Raw genomic sequence first — 18,872 nt, forward strand, 5'->3', positions numbered from 1 at the left:
TTCTTTTCAACTTTTTGAGGGAAAAGCCCACTTTGTTATTTTCAGAAATACCTTATTTCCTGATAGTCACATTTAGAACACAGCTCCCCCTAAGGACCACCTTGATTTAATCCCACAAGTCTAAGGGGCAGCCTTTTCCTTTATTTGTAAAATTTAGTTTTAAATATTTCATCCATTCCCATCTACTGTTACTGTTTCATATTTTGTTGCAGTGGAGGAGAGCGCAGCGGAGGAGACCGTAGCCTCGGCCTTCAGCCCACCTGGTCCCGGGGCTCCAGGGCCACTGGCTGGGAAGAGGCCACTCTGCAGTGCACAAGCCTGGCTCTGCTGTTAAAGCCGACAGCTAGGCAGGGCGTGGTGGCTCACATCTGTAATCCCAGCACTTTGGGAGGCCAAGGTGGGAGGATCGCCTGCGGTCGGGAGTTCGAGACCAGCCTGACCAACATGGAGAACCCATCTCTACTAAAAATACAAAAGTAGCCGGGCGTGGTGGCGCATGCCTGTAATCACAGCTACTCTGGAGGCTGAGGCAGGAGAATCACTTGGACCCGGGAGTCAGAGGTTGTGGGGAGCTGAGATCGCGCCATTGCGCTCTAGCCTGGGCAACAAGAGCGAATCTCCGTCCCAAAAAAAAAAAAAAAAAAGCCGACAATAAGTTACTGGGTAAGTTTCTTCTTCCCATAAATTGTTCTTAGAACTTGTTGCCTCCCTGGGCAGACGCCATGAAGTGTGATAACCAGCACTAAGAGAAAGTCTCAGGAAGTTCCCCGGTCTGACCCTGGGGCCACGGCAGCCTCTGCCCACAGCCTGCTTCAGTCCACCTCTGGTGCTGCAGCCAACTCTGCTACAACACTGCTTCCACCAGAGTGTGGAATAAAATCACAGTAACCCACGCTGTTCCTGAAACAGCACCGACTGCAACACTGCTTCCACCACAGGGTGTGGAATAAAATCACAGTAACCCACGCTGTTCCTGAAACAGCACCGACTGCAACACTGCTTCCACCACAGGGTGTGGAATAAAATCACAGTAACCCACGCTGTTCCTGAAACAGCACCGACTGCAACACTGCTTCCACCAGAGTGCGGAATAAAATCACAGTAACCCACGGTGTTCCTGAAACAGCACCGACTACAACTGCTTCCACCAGAGTGCGGAATAAAATCACAGTAACCCACGCTGTTCCTGAAACAGCACCGACTGCAACACTGCTTCCACCACAGAGTGCGGAATAAAATCACAGTAACCCACGGTGTTCCTGAAACAGCACCGACTGCAACACTGCTTCCACCACAGAGTGCGGAATAAAATCACAGTAACCCATGGTGTTCCTGAAACAGCACCGACTGCCAGGCCATTCCATATGGGACCACCCACTGGGAACAGCTCCGGGGCTGGGGGAGCAGCGCCCCATCCCCAAACAACACGGGGCATGAATGAGCCCTGGGTGGGGAGGCCCCGCCTGCATGCCGGGTAGGGTAGTCAGGCTGCTGGTTCCTTAGCACATGGGGTTCGCTGGGCCAGCCAGTGGGGGGATGCACTGTGAGACCACGTGACCCTCGGCTCGCGCACCCCCACGCCTGCTCCTGCGCACATAGGGAAGACTGGGCGACCACCTGAGCCTCGACTTACACATTCCTGCACCTACTCCTTCGTGCATGGGTTAGACTGCATGACCACCTGACCCTCACCTCACACGTCCATGCATCCATGCACCTGCTGCTTCGTGCACGGGGAGGACTGTGTGAACAAGCGACCCTCTGCACCAGCTCCTTCCTCTATGGGAAAGAATGCCTGACCACGTGACGCTCCCCACCAGTCAGTGCACCTGCTCCTGTTGGTGTCCCAGAAGACTGCGTGACCATGTGACCCTCAGCCCATGCACCCTTGTGCCTGCTCGTGGTGCATCAGGGAATGCGGCCCACACTTCTGAGCTTAGCAGCAGCAAGGAGAGGGGCCTGTGGGCCACAGTTGCAATCGCTGATCCTCGGCAAACAGGGCTGATGAGGGGAGGGTGGAGAGGGAACATGGCCAGGGAGGAGCTCCCCAGGCCTCCAGCAGATGGGGAGGGTGTGGCTCTGCTCTGCAGTGCTGTGAAAACTGCTTGGAGAGGGGGCCTCTGGGAGCCCCAGGCAGGAGGAGGAGCAGTGCTCCTGGTGAAGAGCCCGGGCATCTCCACCGATCTGCCTTCACCTCACCCAGCTCTGGGCCTGTGCGCTCTTTCTCTGCCAGGCTCGGCCCGCCCACAGGAGCCGGGAGCCCTCACCAAGGAGAACAGGACTTGGGTGACTGCTGTGACTCCTTCCAGAAGCTTCTATGACCCCGCACCTTCTGCCCACCTGTCTCCACAGGCCCCACCCCTGCGTCCAGCCTCAGGCACACCCATTGGGATCCCTCCATTCCTCATGCCCCCACGCCCTGGTGCAGATGGGTCTGGATGGACTCTAGCCCCCCAGGAGATGCCAGTATGGCAGAGCTGCAGAGAGAGAAGCTGGCTGGGGCAGCTGCGGCAGCCAAGCCCCTCAGCACTGGCAGGGGTGGCCAAGGGAGGTGCTGGGTAGGCAAAGAAATTCTTAGAAAATCCTGGCTAGACCAGAAACTCCCAGAACAATGGCCTTCTAAGGAAAGGGGGCTGGCAGTGCGGTCTCCCAGGCAGCGTCGCTGGAGACTCAGGTCGCTAAAGTGGAGGCACCGGGCACAGCCATTCCTCCCCACGGCAGCTTTGCAGTGTCCACTGAGAGCAAGCGTGCGTTTACAGACCTGCAGCCACAGGGACACCTGTCAGAGAGGGCAGGTGTCTTTTCTCCTCACCCAAGCAAGGCCCAGCACCCTGGCTCAGAGGCTTCCACAGAAGCCCCCTTGGCACCTTCACCAGAGGCAGCAGGGGCAGCATGCGGAACCAAGACATCACTGCAAGTCGTGGACAGGGATAAGCGGGCTGTTGCGTGGACAAGGTGGGCAGATGTGGGGAGCGGGAGCAGCCTCCAGGCAGTGTGGCCAGAGGCTGAATGCGGAGAGGGGGAGGGACTCAGAGAGGAGAACACGGACCACGCTCCTGGTCACCATAGGTCAGGCCTCCACGCGGCAGCCAACTGGGGAGGACACTGTGGACGCCTGCAGACGCTGAGACCTGCAACCTGGCCCTCCCAAGACAAGCTGCTGATGGCTGTGGGCCGGCTGTCACCACAGGACCCTGATCACCCTGAGAAATGCCAGTTGGAGGAAGCAATATGGTCACCCTGTGTGAGCCATAAGTGAGGGTTTATAGCATAATCCTAATGAGGAACTTTGTCTGAAGTCTGAGGCTGAGTTACTTCAACTATTTGAAAGTTGGCTACGATAAACCAAGGCGTCCAGGCAGTGACCTGCCCACATGCAGGGAGAGCTTTGGTGCGGACTGCGGCCGCTAAATACCACTTCCCAGCAGAAGGCCCAGGGCTCCTCAGCCGGGCTTGCTCCAGGTCACAGGTGGGAAATGCAGAGATGAAGATGGGACAGCACGGCGCAGCCCACATCAGGGAAGCTGGCAGGGGCCGGGCGCGAGCGCTCACGCCTGCAGTCCCAGGAGCACGGCGCGGCCCAAATCAAGGAAGCTGGCAGAGGCTCATGTCCTGAGGGCTGGCTCGAGGCCTACCCAGCTCACACTCACGTGACAGGGATCCAGCAACAGCCAATGCCGAGCCTGGTGCAGGAGCAGCACAGCAGACCAGTGGGAACTGACCCTCTCTGGGTCTAGATGCAACCACCAGCTTCCAGAAAGCCCCAATGACAACAAGGAGATGCAATCAATCAGAAAATGCAGAGAACTCCACAAAACACAAAACTCCACAAAACACAGCCCAAATCCATTGCAGCAAACAAGGAGGAGCTGGAGGACCCTCCTGATCCACACGCACCAGAGGCCCGAGGGAGCTCGTTCACCCCTCCACCTTGCGAGGACACAGAAGGTGCCATCTATTGACCCGGAGGGGGTCCTTGGCAGACACCAAATCTGCCGGCATCTTGGACTTCAGCCTCCAGAATGGTGAGAAGTCCGTGTCTGCTGTTCGGGAGGCACCTCGTCTGTGGTCCTTTGTGACAGCAGCCGCGCCAAGCAGGGCGGGCACAGTGGGAGTGCACGTGACCCCGGCCTGGCCACACACCGTCATTCTCCGGGCTGGGGGACAGGTCCCAGGCCCACTGTATTATCACTGCTTTGGTGTTCTAGGTTGAATTTTGCGCCCCCTTCCCCAATTCCTGTTGATGTCCTGACCCCCAGGACTCCAGAGGGTGACTGTATTTGGAGAAGGGGCTGTTAGAGAGGTGACGAAGGTAAAATGAGATCATCTGGGGGCCCTGAGCCAACCTGCCTGGTGTCCTTATAAGAAGAGGAGATGAGGACACAGACACCCAGGGAGGGACGGCCCTGTGAGGACACAGGGTGAAGGCACCATCTGCAAGCCCAGGAGAGGCCTCAGGAGGAACCAGCCCTGCTGCGCCTCGGTCTCGGACTCCAGCCTCCAGGATGGTGAGACAACAATGTCTGTGGTTTAAGCCCCATCTGAGGCACTTTATTATGGAAGCCGGAGCTGAGAAAGACACTTGACATATGTTTGAAATTTCCCATGATAAAAAGTATAAAAGTGATGACTCTTGGCTTAAATGTAAACAAGGCCATCCAAATGTTGGCCTGGAACTCTCTGGAAGTCTCTGAGTGAAGGCGCCGGTGGTCACAATGCCCAGGCCCAGGCTCTCTGATTTCAGGCAGCTGGCAAACCCCTCCCTCGTCTCTGCCAAGGCCACCAGGGCCGTAAGCAGCCCCAGGCCCCAGCATCACCCGGCGTTTCACAATCAGTGCTGAACTCAAAGACACGAGGTTGCCAGAGAACATGTGGTCCCTCTCGTGTGCACTCACGCCATCGCGGTGCCCGACAGGGGTGCTGCGGTGAGGCCCACCAGGCGCAGGGATGCTGCGGCCCCTCCGAGCCCACTTGTTGGAGATGTCACACTGCAGTGCCCCAGCCAGTGAAGGGGCTCCAATGCACCTGCAACGAGGCAGGGGTGGAGGGGAGGCTGCCCAAAGGATGGCGCCCGGAGACTCGAAGGCCGCGAGGCCGCGTCATCCCGCACAGGCGGCCGGGGCAGATGCTCAGTGCCAGCCACCCCAAGCTCTACGGTTAGCGCGGTGGAGGCAGCTCACAGGAATGCTCCCTCCTGAAGGTGCATCCCAACATTGCTGCTTTAATTATGTGGAAAAAATTATCCCAACTCCACAGGATATGCGACAGTGCGCTTGCAAATCCACGAGAGAACGTGCACTCCTCCCACGGTGAGAGGGCGAGCGGCAGCACACACAGGCGCCTGCTGTCCAAGGTCTAATTTTCTTTTGCTTTTTCCTTTTAGAGAAAGAACAACTTTTGAAAGCACAGCAGTTCTCTCAGGCATCCCATCGGACGGAGCCGGCACTTCCATCAGCAAACACCACCAGCCCGCCCTCGGCATCTGAGAGCTGGAGGGAGCTTCGGGAATCACCCACTCCCGTCCAGCACCCACAGACACAAACCGAGCAAGGCAGCAGCAGGAAACGCCCTCCTTTTCTGTCTCCCCAATCACCAAAACACCTTTATTCATATAACATGACTTCTGGTCCAAACCAAACGCTGCCTTCAAATATGGAATCAGCGATCACGCCCACAATGAATTCTCATAGTTAACGATACTAAAAGCAGACAGGAAATGTGAAAAAGTGGCACCGTGAACCATTGCCGTGGGCTCTCTCTGCACACACAACCACTCTTACCTTTGGAGCCCGAGGCACGGCCCGCACCCCAGGCGCTACAGATCCCAGGTGAGGCCTGCAGGAGGAGGGATGGGCTGCCAGGAGCGCAGGCCACATCACGGGGACGGTTTCATTGGGAGGAACATTTTATGTTTACTGGGTATTCCCATTTCTGTTTGTGTAATTTTCTCATTTATATAAATGTATATACATCTTGTGCCAAATTTATGGTGGGTTTCTTTGTCTTTTTCTCACCCCTGTGAACATCCATTGTCTCCCTGACCTTAGATTTCAGTGAGGTCACACTCTGGAGCTTTTCACCCCCACCCCGTGTGACTGCAGGAGGATCTGCGCCTCCCCGCAGGAACCCCTCTCCCCCACAGCCCGTGCTTACTGCTATCTATAAAGCTGTTTCTTCTTCGCTCTCCCACTCAAATCTAAAATTAAATATAGCTTTTCTAAAACTGAACTATTTCTTTGCAAACCCTCAACCAGCCGTACCGCCTCCCGCCGCTGTCATCTCTACTCCACCGTCCTCACCAGAACCCTCGGCACCATCACCTACCCGAGGCTCTTGCCTGCGAGATGACAGTGTGTTCAGTAATTCCCTTTGGATTTGCAAATCGGCCCCGCAGTCCCACAGCACAGTGATTCTCCTAGACCACTCCATTTACCATTTTCAACCCACTCCAGTCCACGGGCGTCTTACGAGGATGCTGCACGGTGTTGAATGGGATCAAAGCCAGTCTGGTCTTGGCCATGTCTAAACCACGACACCCTGTGACTGGGGAACCCCCATCAACACCCAACCAGCTCCCCTGTGAGCCAGCTTCCAGGATACAGGGACGGCCCTGGGACCGTTGGCACCAGTGTCGTCACTGGGACTGGATGGTAGCATGCAGGTAGCACCCTGGGGTGACACCAATGCCGCCTGGGCCGTGGTGCTGCATCTGTGGGACACTGGAACATGACCTGGAGGGCAGGCAGGCCTGGAGGAGCATGTGGTGTCTCTGGAGCAAGGGCCGCTGCTGGAGGGCAGGCGGGCCTGGAGGAGTGCAGTGTCTCTGGAGCAGGGGCCGCTCTCCGCAGCGTGGGTGGAGGCTGTCTCCCATGGCTTCTGCAGGCCCTGGTTAGTCCTGCTTTCTGGAAACAGCCATGGGGGAGCACACCTTCCTCCTGCGGGGCGTCCCCACCAGCGTCTGAGGGGCACTGGCTCTGAGAAAACCCTGGGCCCCTAAGACGGCACTGAAGCCCCATATCCCAGCAAGAAGAGACCAGGGAGTCACTGCGGTTACTTGCTCATGCCCACGCAGGCCTTTCTGTGGATCTCCACACACAGCACCTCCGACTGCGACCGCACAGCTCCTCTCTTGCACCTGGGCTCACGGTTGGCTCTGCGGGGTTGACCTCCCCGGCGCGCGCTGTTTGTGTGTCCCAGTTACCTAGGTTCTGTAGCAGACGTGGCATCAGAGACCACGTGGCCCCAACCCCTCAGGGGACACCACCTGCACGCCTCGCTCACCCTACGTGGGGACATCACCTGCTCACCTCGCTCACCCTACATGGGGATGCACCTGCTCACCTCGCTCACCCTACGTGGGGACGTCACCTGCTCACCTCGCTCACCCTACTTGGGGATGCACCTGCTCACCTCGCTCACCCTACGTGGGGACGTCACCTGCTCACCTCGCTCACCCTACTTGGGGATGCACCTGCTCACCTCGCTCACCCTACGTGGGGATGTCATCTGCTCACCTTGCTCACCTTACGTGGGGATGCACCTGTACGCCTCACTCACTCTGCCATCAGGACACTGCTTGAATTCCTCTCTTGAACACAGAGCTGCTTCCTGCAGACAGGGTCAGAGAACAGCCAGGGAATCCCTGAGTGGGATCAGGCCACTCCAGTCTTGGTTGGCCAGGAACCGAGCCCCTCCAGGAGGGAGGTCCATCGAGCAGCCTCATGCATCTGCACAGCAAAGCTGTGCATCGTCCTCTGCTCCCAGATGGTGGCACCCTCCTGCTTGCCACTCAGCCAACAACCCCAAGGAGGCAGCCTCATGGCTGGGGATGGCTGTGTTGAGCTGCAGCCCCAGCTGTCCCTAAGCTCTGTGGCTTGGGAGGAGCATCACTTCCCGGTCTCAGCGGGTGTCTGGAGGGTGGGCTGGGTCCTGCTGAGGCCAGGCAAGGAGGCTCCACCTGGGCAGCCCCACATCACCACCAGGACACAGCAGGTGGCAGAGGGCGTACCACACTTAGAGCCCTGCTCATTCGCCAGTAAAGTGAGCCCCACGGCCACCCGGACAGGGCTTGGCAGGCACAGTAGTCTGAGCTCCTGTGTGGCGTGCGGCCCCGTGAGTCGCAGTGGGGCTATGTGCTGGGTGGTGCCACACAGGCAGGCCCTCCATGCCCCATGTCCAATCAGGAAGATATGGAGCCGCTGGGCCGGCCACACCCGCCTTCGGAGTCACTGTCAGCTCTGCATCATCATCCCACGGAGGCTCACAGGGTCACAAGGCCCCGGCCCAAGAGCAGTCCCACACTAGAGCCTCCCTCTCACTATCCCTGAAGCACCCAGTGTCCATGCTTCCCGTAGAATCAAGGGCCATAGACCCCCAACATCTGGGGCAAGCACCCTGCAGTCACTGGAGAAGACACAGCTTGCTGAAGTGCCCACGGGGGGCCACATCTCAGACTTTCAACCTTGTGTACTACAAATGCAGATTCCTGGACACCTTGTGACCTTTGGAATGAGGCTGTGCCCTGTGGGCTGACTCCCTCGGGCCCCCTGAGCTATGTATGGCCCACGCCTTCACCTGGAGTCTTCCTCCCATCGGGGGGCTCTGCTGTCTGGACTAAGCGTTCCCTGACACCCTGGCTCACACCCGTGATGCCAGCACAGGGCATGGTGCTCACACATTGGTGCTGTTGGAAAGTAACCAGTAAAAAGGTGTGTGAAAGAAAACACGCTTACTCATTCTGCAGACAATTCCTGAGCACCTGCAATGTGCACTCTGGACAAATGGTGTCCAGGTGCAGGCAGAACGAGACCGACGGAAACCGCAGCACCACCTGGCTCAGACGGCACAGGTGCAGCCCGTGTAAAGATGGCACGCGCCGGCATCCTGGTGTGGGCCTGCGGGAAAAGGGCGTGGGGTGGAGGTGCAAGCTCAGCTGAGAAATCAGGAGTAGAGAGTGCAGAGCCCCACGGAGGGAGGGCCCAGGCAGGGTGGCTATGTGAGCATCACAGCCGATGCCCCAGTTCCTGCTTCAAGATGACCGATGGCAGGCAGGTGCCGGAGCCGCTCCTCCGGTCCCCAGGCTGGCCTCCGGGTCCTGCCCACATGCTCTCCCAGACAGTCCTCATGCCTCCTCACCCGCAAAGCTCTGCACAAATCCCCCTTCCCTGAAGGGTTTGGGACACCCAGCCAGAGTTCTGTCCCTCTGGTCCCTACATATGACGTCCCCCATGTCCAACCTGCAGCCCCACACTCTAGAGGAGAGATTCCACAATACAGGCTGCAGGCTGGGAGGCCCTTCCATTGCTGCCTGGTGACCCCGAGGGCTCAGCTCCTGCAAGGCCTGGCTCACGGCAGGTGCTCGCAAGAAGAATACAGGAGGGAAGGGAGCAGAAACTCAGAAGTGTAAGCTTCTGGGCTGCACACGTTCCACTGTGGGCACAGGCTAAGCTTCAAAAGCAGAAACTAGCTGCAGATTCCTATTTGGAGGCTGCGGGGACTCGGTTACACCTGACCCATTTCCACAGGCTCTCACCCGTGGGGCAGGACACCCTGCGATTATGTTTCCTCCATTTCCACAGGCTCTCACCCGTGGGGCGGGACACCCTGCGATTACATTTCCTCCATTTCCACAGGCTCTCACCCGTGGGGCGGGACACCCTGCGATTACATTCTCACCCGTGGGGCGGGACACCCTGTGATTACATTTCCTCCATTTCCACAGGCTCTCACCGGTGAGGCGGGACACCCTGCGATTACATTCTCACCCGTGGGGCAGGACACCCTGTGATTACATTTCCTCCATTTCCACAGGCTCTCACCCGTGGGGCGGAACACCCTGTGATGACATTTCCTCCATTTCCACAGGCTCTCACCCGTGGGGCGGGACACCCTGCGATTACATTTCCTCAGAAGGCAGCTTTCAAGGCAAAGCTCCCACGTGCAGAAACGGGCCCTGGAGGTGGGAGTCCCAGGAGCCGTGGAGAAGCTCCAATGAGAACGGGGCCAGATGGGCAGCCCGAGAGCAGAACCCCCACCACCAGCGGCTGGGGAGAGGCTGGAGATGCCAGGGCCCTCCTGGGAGGCACCAGCTTTGTCCTCGAGGCCGAGGGGAGGAGAAGCACAGGAGATGCTGGGCACAAGGGGCCCGGCACAGGCCAGGCACAGGGAGGCCCCAGCCTCATCTGCCCAGTGAGCGATATCCAAAAACAACAAACAGGGTCCACATGCCAGCACTGCAGCCACAGCAGCACGAGGGGCCATCGCAGGTGCACGGGCCTCACAGCTTCACAGAGCAGAGCCATGCCAAACGCTCGCGGTGAAAGGCAGCCTGTTTCTTCAGTACTGTTCCTTCGACAGGTCAGTCCTGAGCCCCAGGCTGTGTCCCAGGACACTGGGAGTCTGCTCCGCACTGGGGGACTCAAAGTCCACACGGGGCCCACAGGTGGTCAAGTGAACCAAACGCCCCACACCCTGACCCCCAGGTGTACATTCTGCACATTTTAATTCCGAGGTTGGGAATGCACCCTACGCCGCCAGGCACGCCGCCAGGCCGAGGTCTGCAGCAGCATTTCACTCTGTTGGTGTCCGAGGACCTCAGGGGCTGTGGACCATGCAGGCGCTGCAGACAGTGATACATCGTGGGGGGCTCAGGAGAAGCAGGCTCCTGGGATCATTCCAACAAAAAGGTCCCCCTGCGTGCTCCGCCAGGACCCCACCTTCCACCTCCAGCCAAAACAGGACCTTCACACATACCAGCACGCTTCCCATTCAGCCCAGGCCCTGAGACAGGCCCTCCGGAGCTGTGGCCCAGGGAAACGCCAATCTCCCCGGACCTCCCGCCTGGTCTGAGTAAAAAGAATCCTGAAATTCAGGATCCGTGGCATTTCTAGCTGCTTGCATTTGTTTAACAAACATCTGCAGAAAGCCAGTGGGGCCCTGGTGGAGAGCACCTCCCAAGCCCCCTGTGGTGGGAGCCCCACCCCCAGCACATCCTGCATCAGGGGATCCTGCTACAAGAAAGAGTCCCCAGCCTGCTGGCCCTTCCTACTCCGAACTGGCCGCAGATACAGGGAGCCCCCCAGCACATCCTGCATCAGGGGATCCTGCTACAAGAAAGAGTCCCCAGCCTGCCGGCCCTTCCTACTCCGAACTGGCCGCAGATACAGGGAGCCCCCCAGCACATCCTGCATCAGGGGATCCTGCTACAAGAGTCCCCAGCCTGCCCGGCCCTTCCTACTCCGAACTGGCTGCAGATACAGGGAGCCCCCCAGCACATCCTGGCCCAAACCCTCAAAAGCTGCAGGAGCCCACAGCCTGCCCTGTACACCCTGCGCCACACTACCCGCAAATACAAGGTCCCCCACCTCCCCCGCCAGCCCAGAACATCCTGGCCCAAGTCCCACCCCCAGCCTGCCCTGTACACCCTGCCCCACACTACCCGCAGATACAGGGGCCCCCCAGAACATCTTGGCCCAACCCCCTGGCCTGCCCTGTATACCCTGCCCTGCACTATCTACAGATACTGGGACCCTCCCCCACCTCCCACTGCCGCCCACACACAACATCCTGGCCTAAGTCCCACCCACTTAGCTGCAGGAGCCCCTGGCCTGCCCTGTACACCCTGCTCCACACTACGGGCAAATACAGGGGGCCCCCCGGAACATCCTGGCTCACCCCCACTCCCCCGAGCTGCAGGAGTGCCTCTGTCCCCACAATTCTGGGTCTGCGCCACCATCTCCAGGGAGCCCACCAAGCACATCCTGGCCCTGTCCCTGGCTATGGGAGACCCTCCACCCAGGACATCCTGCTTCCCCCAGCTGCAGGGAGCCCCTGGACCACCAGTAACGTCTGTGAGGCAAGGCTGACCCCTGCTCAGCCAGTGGGTAGAATGGGAGTGGGCAGGGGCTGTGGGCCCTGGCAAGTATGTCCACTCCTCTGAGTGCAGGGAGGTACAGAGGTGACCAGCCTGACGTGCAGCTGTGGACACAGAGGGAGGGCTGCTGGGGGCTGGAGGCCACTGCCCAGTGGCAGTTGTGGGGGAGGCAGAAATGACCTGATCGCTCTAAGGTGAGGGAGAGGAGAGCCCACTCTTTACAGAGACTTCCCCAATGGCACAGGCGCCACGTGGTCCTGGGGCCACTGACTGGGCAGACAGCCTGGCACAGGGACAGGACAGGTCTAGCCTGGGATGTGCTGAGCTTGATGGATGCATGGGACCCAGGAGGATGTCACAATGATGATTCACATGGCACACAGGTGACCATGACTCTTCCCTGATGGAGACAATGACTCACTGCTGCAGAAAGGTGGATCTAACCCCTCCAGGGTAGCCTAGGAGAACAAACAGACTCCACTCTAAGGAGCCCAGGCATTCCATGCTGATCCACGCCTGCCCAGCCCGGCGGCATCCCCACTGTCTGTGCATGGACACCAGCCCTCCCTGGCTCCAGGGCCCTTGCCCTCCAGTACCTTGGCCCAGCTTTGGTTCTACCCCAAGGGTTTTAAAACATTTAGAACTGGGAGAGAAACTGTTTTCTTTCTTTCCTTTTTTTTTTTTAAGCTTGTATGTGGCAAATATCTTTAAGAGGAAATAACTCACTCCTCTGGCTCTAAGAGGGAAGTGTGAAATTCAAGAGTAAAATCAAGGTTTGGAAAAGGCTGCTGTCCCCAGGTACCAGCCCCCACCCCAGCAGTGTCTCCCCACACAGGGGACGAGGGCACAGGGGATGAGGTTAGAGGGCCACCAGTCACAGCAGAGGAAAGACCACACTGAGGGAAGCTGGGAGCTGACTGTGCTGGAAGTTCAAGAACAGCACCTCACCTTTAACACACCTAAGCTCATGCTGCTGGCACATGGCTGAGAAGCCAGGGATGCATTGGTTTTAATACAGCAAAAAGTATCCCCCAGGGTTGCAAAATGACGTGGGTTTCACAGGGACAAACAGTGATCACATTAGAAAATAATGTTATTTCCAAACACAAGCCTAGCATCATGCTTTTTTCCTGGGCTCATTTTCAGAATGATTCACAGCTAGATTAAAGGTTTACACTGGAAATGCTGGAAACAGTAACCGGGAATGGTAAGCATGCCCCAGCACCCACAGGAGGCCCACAGGACTTGGAGGGGACGGTCGCGGCTCCTGGCCATCCTGAGAACCATAGCACTTTTGTCATGGGCCGCGTGGGGATGAGGGCCCTGGAAACAGGAAGAGGAAGGTCAGGAGGGCTCCTCCTGCAGTCTCTGTGTCAGAGGCAGGGACATGGCTTAGCAAGACAGGTGACCTCGTGGAAGCCTAGCTTGGACACTCCCAACCAGTCATGTCCAAGCAGTACAGCACAGGGCGCCTTCTCAGACAAGAGCGGTGAGACGGAGTGGGACAGGGAGCCACGTTCTCCGCTGCCTGGGCCCTCCCAGCACTCAAGGGCGCTCTGCCCCTGCAGGCACAGGAGGCACCGGGCATGGGCCAGACACCCAGCAAGTGTGGTAGTCGAGTCCCGTGCCCGGCTCCTGAAGCAGGGCTCCTGAGTGGCCACTTTTTCAGGCACAAAATCCTAACATGTTTATACGAGAAATAGATAATTCAACTGCAAAAAAAAAAGCCAATGTTAGGAAGAAACGATTTAAATAAAATGGAAGCAAGTAGTGACCATAGCTTGACATTTTCTAAAGACTACAGTTCGTCTAGGAACAGAGGCGACGTGTCAAATTCAAGAGTAAAATCAAGGTTTGGAAAAGGCCGCTGTTCCCAGACAGGAGCCCCCACCCCTGGCAGTGCCTCCCCACACGGGGGACGAGGGGACAAGGGGACGAGGTCGGAGGGCTCAGGAGAGCCGCATCCGGAATGCATTCTGAACGCAGCTGTGGGCCGCCTGCCTCCTCTTACTAAAGAAAGTGGACATCAGAGAGGAAGCATTTGCAAAGTCTGATGACGGCTCACATGGACTAATGCAGAAGTGAACCCGCAGGGCTGACGGACGCCTCAGGGTTCTCGCCCCACTCTGAGCACGGCCCTGCGGCCTCTCTCGAGCCCACCCACTCCTGACCCTGGGTCCCACAGGGTGGGGGATGCACCGTGGCCCCATGCATGGGATGAAGGGCTTGGGCCGGGTGACTGGCTGGACGCCTTCCAGAGAAAAGGCAATGCGTGGTTTAAAGCGGAAAAAAAACACAGCTGAAAAAAAAGAGAAAAATATAAGACAGAGCTGATGTCTTACCCCAGGTTGCTTGTCCCGGGCACAGTAAAAACTTTTTCTTTATCTTTTTCTTTTTGGAGACGGAGTCCGGCTCTGTCGCCCAGGCTGGAGTGCAGTGGTGCGATCTCCGCTCACTGCAAGCTCCGCCTCCTGGGTTCACGCCATTCTCCTGCCTCAGCCTCCTGGGTGGCTGGGACTGCAGGCACCTGCCATGACACCCGTCTAATTTTTTGTATTTTTAGTAGAGACGGGGTTTCACCGTGTTAGCCAGGATGGTCTCGATCTCCCGACCTCATGATCCGCCCGCCTCGGCCTCCCAAAGTGCTGGGATTACAGGCGTGAGCCGTTGCGCCCGGCCCACAGTAAAAACTTAAAATGCACCTGCTGCGGCCAGCACCGACCATGGCTGTGAACAGCAAGCAGAGGCAGGAGCAGAACCCACATGGCCCTGTGTTCCAGTGGGAGGAAGGAGCAGTCCTGAGTGCCAATGACGATAGGGGGCCGGACCCAGGCAAGAGGCCAGCATCATTCTGAAATGCGTAAAAACATGTGCTCCTTTAGAGTTCCGGAGCCACGACCACAGGCAGTGAAGGAGGCGCCCTGGGTGTCATCTCCTGTCTGGGAACGGAAAGGTGTTGTCTCACTTGGGCTGATGTGAGAAAGGAACCGTGCCTGCAGGAAGCGTGCAGAGCAGGGTGCATGAGTGGGGGAAGAAAGCAGCTCCCATGGCTCACGCCAGCCTGGCGTCCTGAAACAGACCCAGAAGCTGCAGAGTTTTAAAAGTTGGCACAGATGCGTGCTGACAATATAAGATAAAGGGCTCTTTCTCACGATGAAACAGGAGTGCAAAGACAGTGTCCGTTTAAGACGAACTTTGGGTCACAATCACGGGTTTCTGCATGAAACTGATGGTGCTTTGCTGTCAGCTGTAAAACAAAACTATGTGCGTGAGCTTCTGTGTGTATGTGGGTATGCTTATGTGGATGTTTGTGTACACTCGCATGTATATGCCTGTGTATGCACTTATGTATATGTGTATGCATGTGTGTACACACATATTCTCATACACACACTCATATTAGAAACCCAAGTTTTAGGACAGAATGCTATAAAAAATGAAAAGTAAAGTCTTTTCCGATTTTGAACCCCCCTTCCCATTTTGCAAAGTTAACCACAACTAAGTTTCACGAGTGCGTCATTCGGAAAATTCATTCGGAAAATTAGACAGGATTACAGGAACGCTCTCGATGACTTTGAGAAAAAAGCCAGTTCCCTAAGGTCAGGGCTCCTTGTGAGGTGAGGGCAGGCATCCATGCTAAGCCAGCCCACGCTGCCCTCCCTGCCTGGGAGACGGCACAGCAGCTGGGCCTCTGTGTCCTCACCTGTGCTTCCTGGGGCAAAGGATGACAGTGACCAGAGGCGAGGACACGGGAAAATGACGCTTGGGCCTCTACTGGGCCAAAACAGTTGGCACCATCACACCCAGGTCATCAGAAGGCAGCTGGGGGCCATGGGCCTGGCACCGTCTCCAAGGCCTCTGAGGCATCCAGGGAGACAGCAGGCCCTGTACAGCCCTGGCCTTCTCCATCCTCCCCAAGGGACAGGCACTCTCCTGCACATCCTCCACAGGGTGTGGCTGCCCTGTGCTCCCACCGGGTACACTGCCCAGGGCTCCTTGGCCCACCCCACCCCTCCACATCCACTGCCCGGCAATGGGGCTGAGCGAAGAGCCAGTCTTACTGAATCCAGGCAGGCAGCACCCAGGGACCCAGTGGGCAGCAGGAGCAGCTCAGAGAAGCCTGAGGAACCCCCATCCCCGTGCATGTGTGCCTGGAGGGCACCAAGGGTCAAGAACACACTGCAAACACAGCCATCCACGTGAGGAGCCTGGCAACGTGTGCAGGCACACGAATTCCTGTTCTGCAGTGGCCATGCTGGACTCAGGAGCGAGGCTGAGAGGGCGGAGTCCTGCTCCTGAGTTTTTTTAAAAAATCACAACTCAGGTATTTGTATAAAAATGTGGAGAAAAAGATGGCCCACTTTTGGGTAAATTCTATGCAGGGCCACCAGGCAGGGAGGGGCAGAATCTGTCCCTGGACTCAACCCTCATCATAATCCTCTCTGTGGATTAGCCAGCGTGGGCAGGCGGGCACCCAGCAGCCTCCTCCACTCTGAGACAGCAACGCCCGTCCAAGGACTCAGCTCCAAGGTGCACAGGAAGGCATTATGCTTTCCAGGATGTAAGTTCTTGCCAACTCTGGTTCCGAGCAGCAGAGACTTTAGAAATGGGGAAAATGGGCCGGGCGCGGTGGTTCACGCCTGTAATCCCAGCACTTTGGGAGGCCGAGGCGGGAGGATCACAAGGTCAGGAGATCGAGACCATCCTGGCTAACACGGTGAGACCCCATCTCTACTAAAAATACAAAAAAAAATTAGCCGGGCATTGTGGCGGGCGCCTGTAGTCCCAGCTACTCGGGAGGCTGAGGCAGGAGAATGGCGTGAACCCGGGAAGCAGAGCTTGTAGTGAGCCGATATCGCACCTCTGCACTCCAGCCTGGGCGACAGAGAGAGACTGTCTCAAAAAAAAAAAAAAAAAAAGAAAAAGAAAAAGAAAAAAAAAAGAAATGGGGAAAACGCATCAGAACCATAGTGGGAAATACTCATACCCACAGATTCCAAGGAAAGTACCGAGAAAACCCTGGGTGACAGAAACCACTTCATGACTCCAAAACGATATATGAATGTGTGACTATGAAGAACCTCAGCTGAACTCACTAAGATCCTGTACCATACCATTTACCGCTCTCTACTAAATCTATATCCTTGCTTTAGCCAGAGGATTAAAACATTGCACGTATTACAGACCCTGATGGCTTTGATACCTCTTTTCAGATCTTAATGTGCTGTTTTCTGTCCAAAGAGATACTTAAGCTCCTCACTAAATCTGTAGTTAAATGACAGATGGGCTGGCTGGAGGAGGAGGTGTCCCCGCATGGCGCTAATCCGAAGACACACAGCAGCCCCTCCCAGGCGGCAAATGCTCACAGGTAAATGCAGGTACTCACTGGTTTATCTCAACTGGGAACTTAGCTGGGTTTCTGCGGGTTCTTGAGTGTGTCAGCCACTACTGGACCCATTTCTTTCTTTGGGGAAGAAGGCTTTCTTGGCTTGAAAGACAGGCTATTTCACTCTGTGGAAACTTTACAAGAATATATCACATCAAAGTAAAAGCTTTGCAAAGCAATGCTTGGTGAAAAGCAAAATGTTTCTGCAGAGAACTTTGAGAACGTTTACAAACTAAACCCTTGAGCCACACATTGCAGACATCCAGCAGAAACGACTGGATGTACAAACACACCTAATTCCTCAGATGGAACCTCTGAAGTGGCAACAAAGCAAGCCCCCTCTCTGAGAGGCCCCAACACCTCAAGCCAGGATCTCTGCCTGGCTTCGGCCCAAGGGAGAACAGCTGCCCAAAGCCTTCAATCTCGGGACCAGGAGCCTCTCGATGACCCCCTGCCCAAGAGCCACTGGGAGCAGCTTGCACCCTGAGGTCTCGGGGAGGAAAGCAGGCCCCTCTGGGCACTCTGGCAGTGCCCTGACATCTGTACCTACCCATGAGAGTCTCTGCCCTGCTTCTCGCCAGGGCAGTGGGTGCACACTTTTGGACAGAACACACCTCAACCGGGGGCTGCAACTATGACAGGGATGACGAAGTGGCCTCCGGGGACCTCCAGGGAGGGGCTTGATGTTTCCCCCCAGGGAGCCAGGAGGGAGTAGGAAAGGCAGGAAGAGAGAGCATGCCTGAGGCAGCCATAGCTGGGGCAGGAGCAGGGCTGGGGAAGCCCTGGAAACCACAGCAGGGGTTCGAATTTCATCCGGGGGCGTCCCCGCTGAGGGCTTCCGAGCAGCAGAGTGCAGGAGGAAGAAAGCCTGCTGGGAGTGACTCAGGGAGAGTGACCAGGGAGAGAGCCTGGTGGCTGGGTGGGGGTGAGGATTGAAGAGGAGGAATGGTTGAGGGGCACAGAATGAGCGACCGTGTCCCAAGTCCTCCTTTGAGGGGCACAGCACACGGCAGCTGACAGCGTGTGGCAGACAGAGGGCCAGGCAGAGCGGCGGCAGAGGGGCCGGCACCGCCCCAGCCCCAGAGTCCAGCTCCCGACACACAGGGAGACGGGGGCCAGGGCCTGGGAGCCAGGCTGGGGACGACCTCACCCTGTGTGTCACCAGGAGGGGCGGCACCATCGGGCTCTCCTGCTCCCCGTCCCCTTCCATACCCTGAGGACCAGCCGCATCAAGGGGCTTTGAGCAAAAGCAGGCGTCCTGGGAAAATGACAAGCTCAAACTGGCCTCAAGAACTTTTCACTTCAGGGTTCTTTCAGATAAAGTACTTTATGCATTAACAAATCTCCATCTTCCCGGAAATCTATTCTCACAATTGGAAGCGTGCTCCCTACAAACCGGACAGCCCCATAGGCCCCGAAACAGTGCTTGCTTCTAGGAATTATTCTAGAGTCAAAAGTAAGGTCCTCTTGAGAGTGGATCTCAGGTAACTGTAAGCCCAGCTGGCAGCCAGGTAGCCGGAAAAGCCAGGCTGAGCCAGCACATCCCCGGTGCAGCTTCCTGCAGCGAGCGGCCCCCTCCCCACGACGCCCCCGGGTCTCCCCTCACCACTGTCC

The 18,872-nt window shown here is 57.1% G+C and overlaps 1 protein-coding gene and 1 non-coding gene across 4 annotated transcripts in view, besides 12 other annotated features; both read right to left on the reverse strand.

Moving 5' to 3' along the window:
* LPCAT1 (lysophosphatidylcholine acyltransferase 1) overlaps positions 1 to 18,872 on the reverse strand; it is a 62,534-nt gene that overhangs the window by 42,662 nt on the left and 1,000 nt on the right. The window contains exon 2 of one of the 3 annotated variants that reach the window (XM_005248373.4): positions 17,259 to 17,392. The exons of 1 other annotated variant lie outside the window; for it this stretch is intronic. The gene's annotated coding sequence lies outside the window, so the exon portion shown is untranslated. Of the gene's footprint in view, positions 1 to 14,214; positions 14,604 to 17,258; positions 17,393 to 18,872 lie in introns of those variants that run through there. One more of the 3 variants, XM_047417763.1, reaches the window with a different exon arrangement.
* Positions 4,545 to 5,063: an enhancer, noted in NCBI's record as "H3K4me1 hESC enhancer chr5:1508748-1509266 (GRCh37/hg19 assembly coordinates)". NCBI's record gives its function as "activates a minimal SCP1, AML or CMV promoter by ChIP-STARR-seq in naive H9 embryonic stem cells {active_cell/tissue: H9 hESC(naive)}" and the evidence as "EXISTENCE:reporter gene assay evidence [ECO:0000049][PMID:30033119]".
* Positions 5,064 to 5,581: an enhancer, noted in NCBI's record as "H3K4me1 hESC enhancer chr5:1509267-1509784 (GRCh37/hg19 assembly coordinates)". NCBI's record gives its function as "activates a minimal SCP1, AML or CMV promoter by ChIP-STARR-seq in naive H9 embryonic stem cells {active_cell/tissue: H9 hESC(naive)}" and the evidence as "EXISTENCE:reporter gene assay evidence [ECO:0000049][PMID:30033119]".
* Positions 6,674 to 6,768, reverse strand: MIR6075 (microRNA 6075). Its single transcript, NR_106723.1, has one exon. It is a non-coding gene; the product is annotated as a microRNA 6075 (primary transcript).
* Positions 7,686 to 7,980: a silencer, noted in NCBI's record as "tiled region #9592; K562 Repressive non-DNase unmatched - State 14:Gen5'". NCBI's record gives its function as "represses a minimal TATA promoter and a strong SV40 promoter by Sharpr-MPRA in K562 cells {active_cell/tissue: K562}" and the evidence as "EXISTENCE:reporter gene assay evidence [ECO:0000049][PMID:27701403]".
* Positions 7,686 to 8,457: a biological region, named in NCBI's record as "Sharpr-MPRA regulatory region 9592".
* Positions 7,898 to 8,457: an enhancer, noted in NCBI's record as "H3K27ac-H3K4me1 hESC enhancer chr5:1512101-1512660 (GRCh37/hg19 assembly coordinates)". NCBI's record gives its function as "activates a minimal SCP1, AML or CMV promoter by ChIP-STARR-seq in primed H9 embryonic stem cells {active_cell/tissue: H9 hESC(primed)}" and the evidence as "EXISTENCE:reporter gene assay evidence [ECO:0000049][PMID:30033119]".
* Positions 9,018 to 9,577: an enhancer, noted in NCBI's record as "H3K27ac-H3K4me1 hESC enhancer chr5:1513221-1513780 (GRCh37/hg19 assembly coordinates)". NCBI's record gives its function as "activates a minimal SCP1, AML or CMV promoter by ChIP-STARR-seq in naive and primed H9 embryonic stem cells {active_cell/tissue: H9 hESC(naive and primed)}" and the evidence as "EXISTENCE:reporter gene assay evidence [ECO:0000049][PMID:30033119]".
* Positions 10,138 to 10,696: an enhancer, noted in NCBI's record as "OCT4-NANOG-H3K27ac-H3K4me1 hESC enhancer chr5:1514341-1514899 (GRCh37/hg19 assembly coordinates)". NCBI's record gives its function as "activates a minimal SCP1, AML or CMV promoter by ChIP-STARR-seq in primed H9 embryonic stem cells {active_cell/tissue: H9 hESC(primed)}" and the evidence as "EXISTENCE:reporter gene assay evidence [ECO:0000049][PMID:30033119]".
* Positions 10,697 to 11,257: an enhancer, noted in NCBI's record as "OCT4-NANOG-H3K27ac-H3K4me1 hESC enhancer chr5:1514900-1515460 (GRCh37/hg19 assembly coordinates)". NCBI's record gives its function as "activates a minimal SCP1, AML or CMV promoter by ChIP-STARR-seq in primed H9 embryonic stem cells {active_cell/tissue: H9 hESC(primed)}" and the evidence as "EXISTENCE:reporter gene assay evidence [ECO:0000049][PMID:30033119]".
* Positions 11,258 to 11,817: an enhancer, noted in NCBI's record as "NANOG-H3K27ac-H3K4me1 hESC enhancer chr5:1515461-1516020 (GRCh37/hg19 assembly coordinates)". NCBI's record gives its function as "activates a minimal SCP1, AML or CMV promoter by ChIP-STARR-seq in primed H9 embryonic stem cells {active_cell/tissue: H9 hESC(primed)}" and the evidence as "EXISTENCE:reporter gene assay evidence [ECO:0000049][PMID:30033119]".
* Positions 11,818 to 12,377: an enhancer, noted in NCBI's record as "NANOG-H3K27ac-H3K4me1 hESC enhancer chr5:1516021-1516580 (GRCh37/hg19 assembly coordinates)". NCBI's record gives its function as "activates a minimal SCP1, AML or CMV promoter by ChIP-STARR-seq in primed H9 embryonic stem cells {active_cell/tissue: H9 hESC(primed)}" and the evidence as "EXISTENCE:reporter gene assay evidence [ECO:0000049][PMID:30033119]".
* Positions 12,937 to 13,497: an enhancer, noted in NCBI's record as "H3K27ac-H3K4me1 hESC enhancer chr5:1517140-1517700 (GRCh37/hg19 assembly coordinates)". NCBI's record gives its function as "activates a minimal SCP1, AML or CMV promoter by ChIP-STARR-seq in naive H9 embryonic stem cells {active_cell/tissue: H9 hESC(naive)}" and the evidence as "EXISTENCE:reporter gene assay evidence [ECO:0000049][PMID:30033119]".
* Positions 17,395 to 17,899: an enhancer, noted in NCBI's record as "H3K4me1 hESC enhancer chr5:1521598-1522102 (GRCh37/hg19 assembly coordinates)". NCBI's record gives its function as "activates a minimal SCP1, AML or CMV promoter by ChIP-STARR-seq in naive H9 embryonic stem cells {active_cell/tissue: H9 hESC(naive)}" and the evidence as "EXISTENCE:reporter gene assay evidence [ECO:0000049][PMID:30033119]".

This window comes from Homo sapiens, chromosome 5, assembly GCF_000001405.40.
Source record: "Homo sapiens chromosome 5, GRCh38.p14 Primary Assembly".
In the NCBI taxonomy this organism is placed as follows: domain Eukaryota; kingdom Metazoa; phylum Chordata; class Mammalia; order Primates; family Hominidae; genus Homo; species Homo sapiens.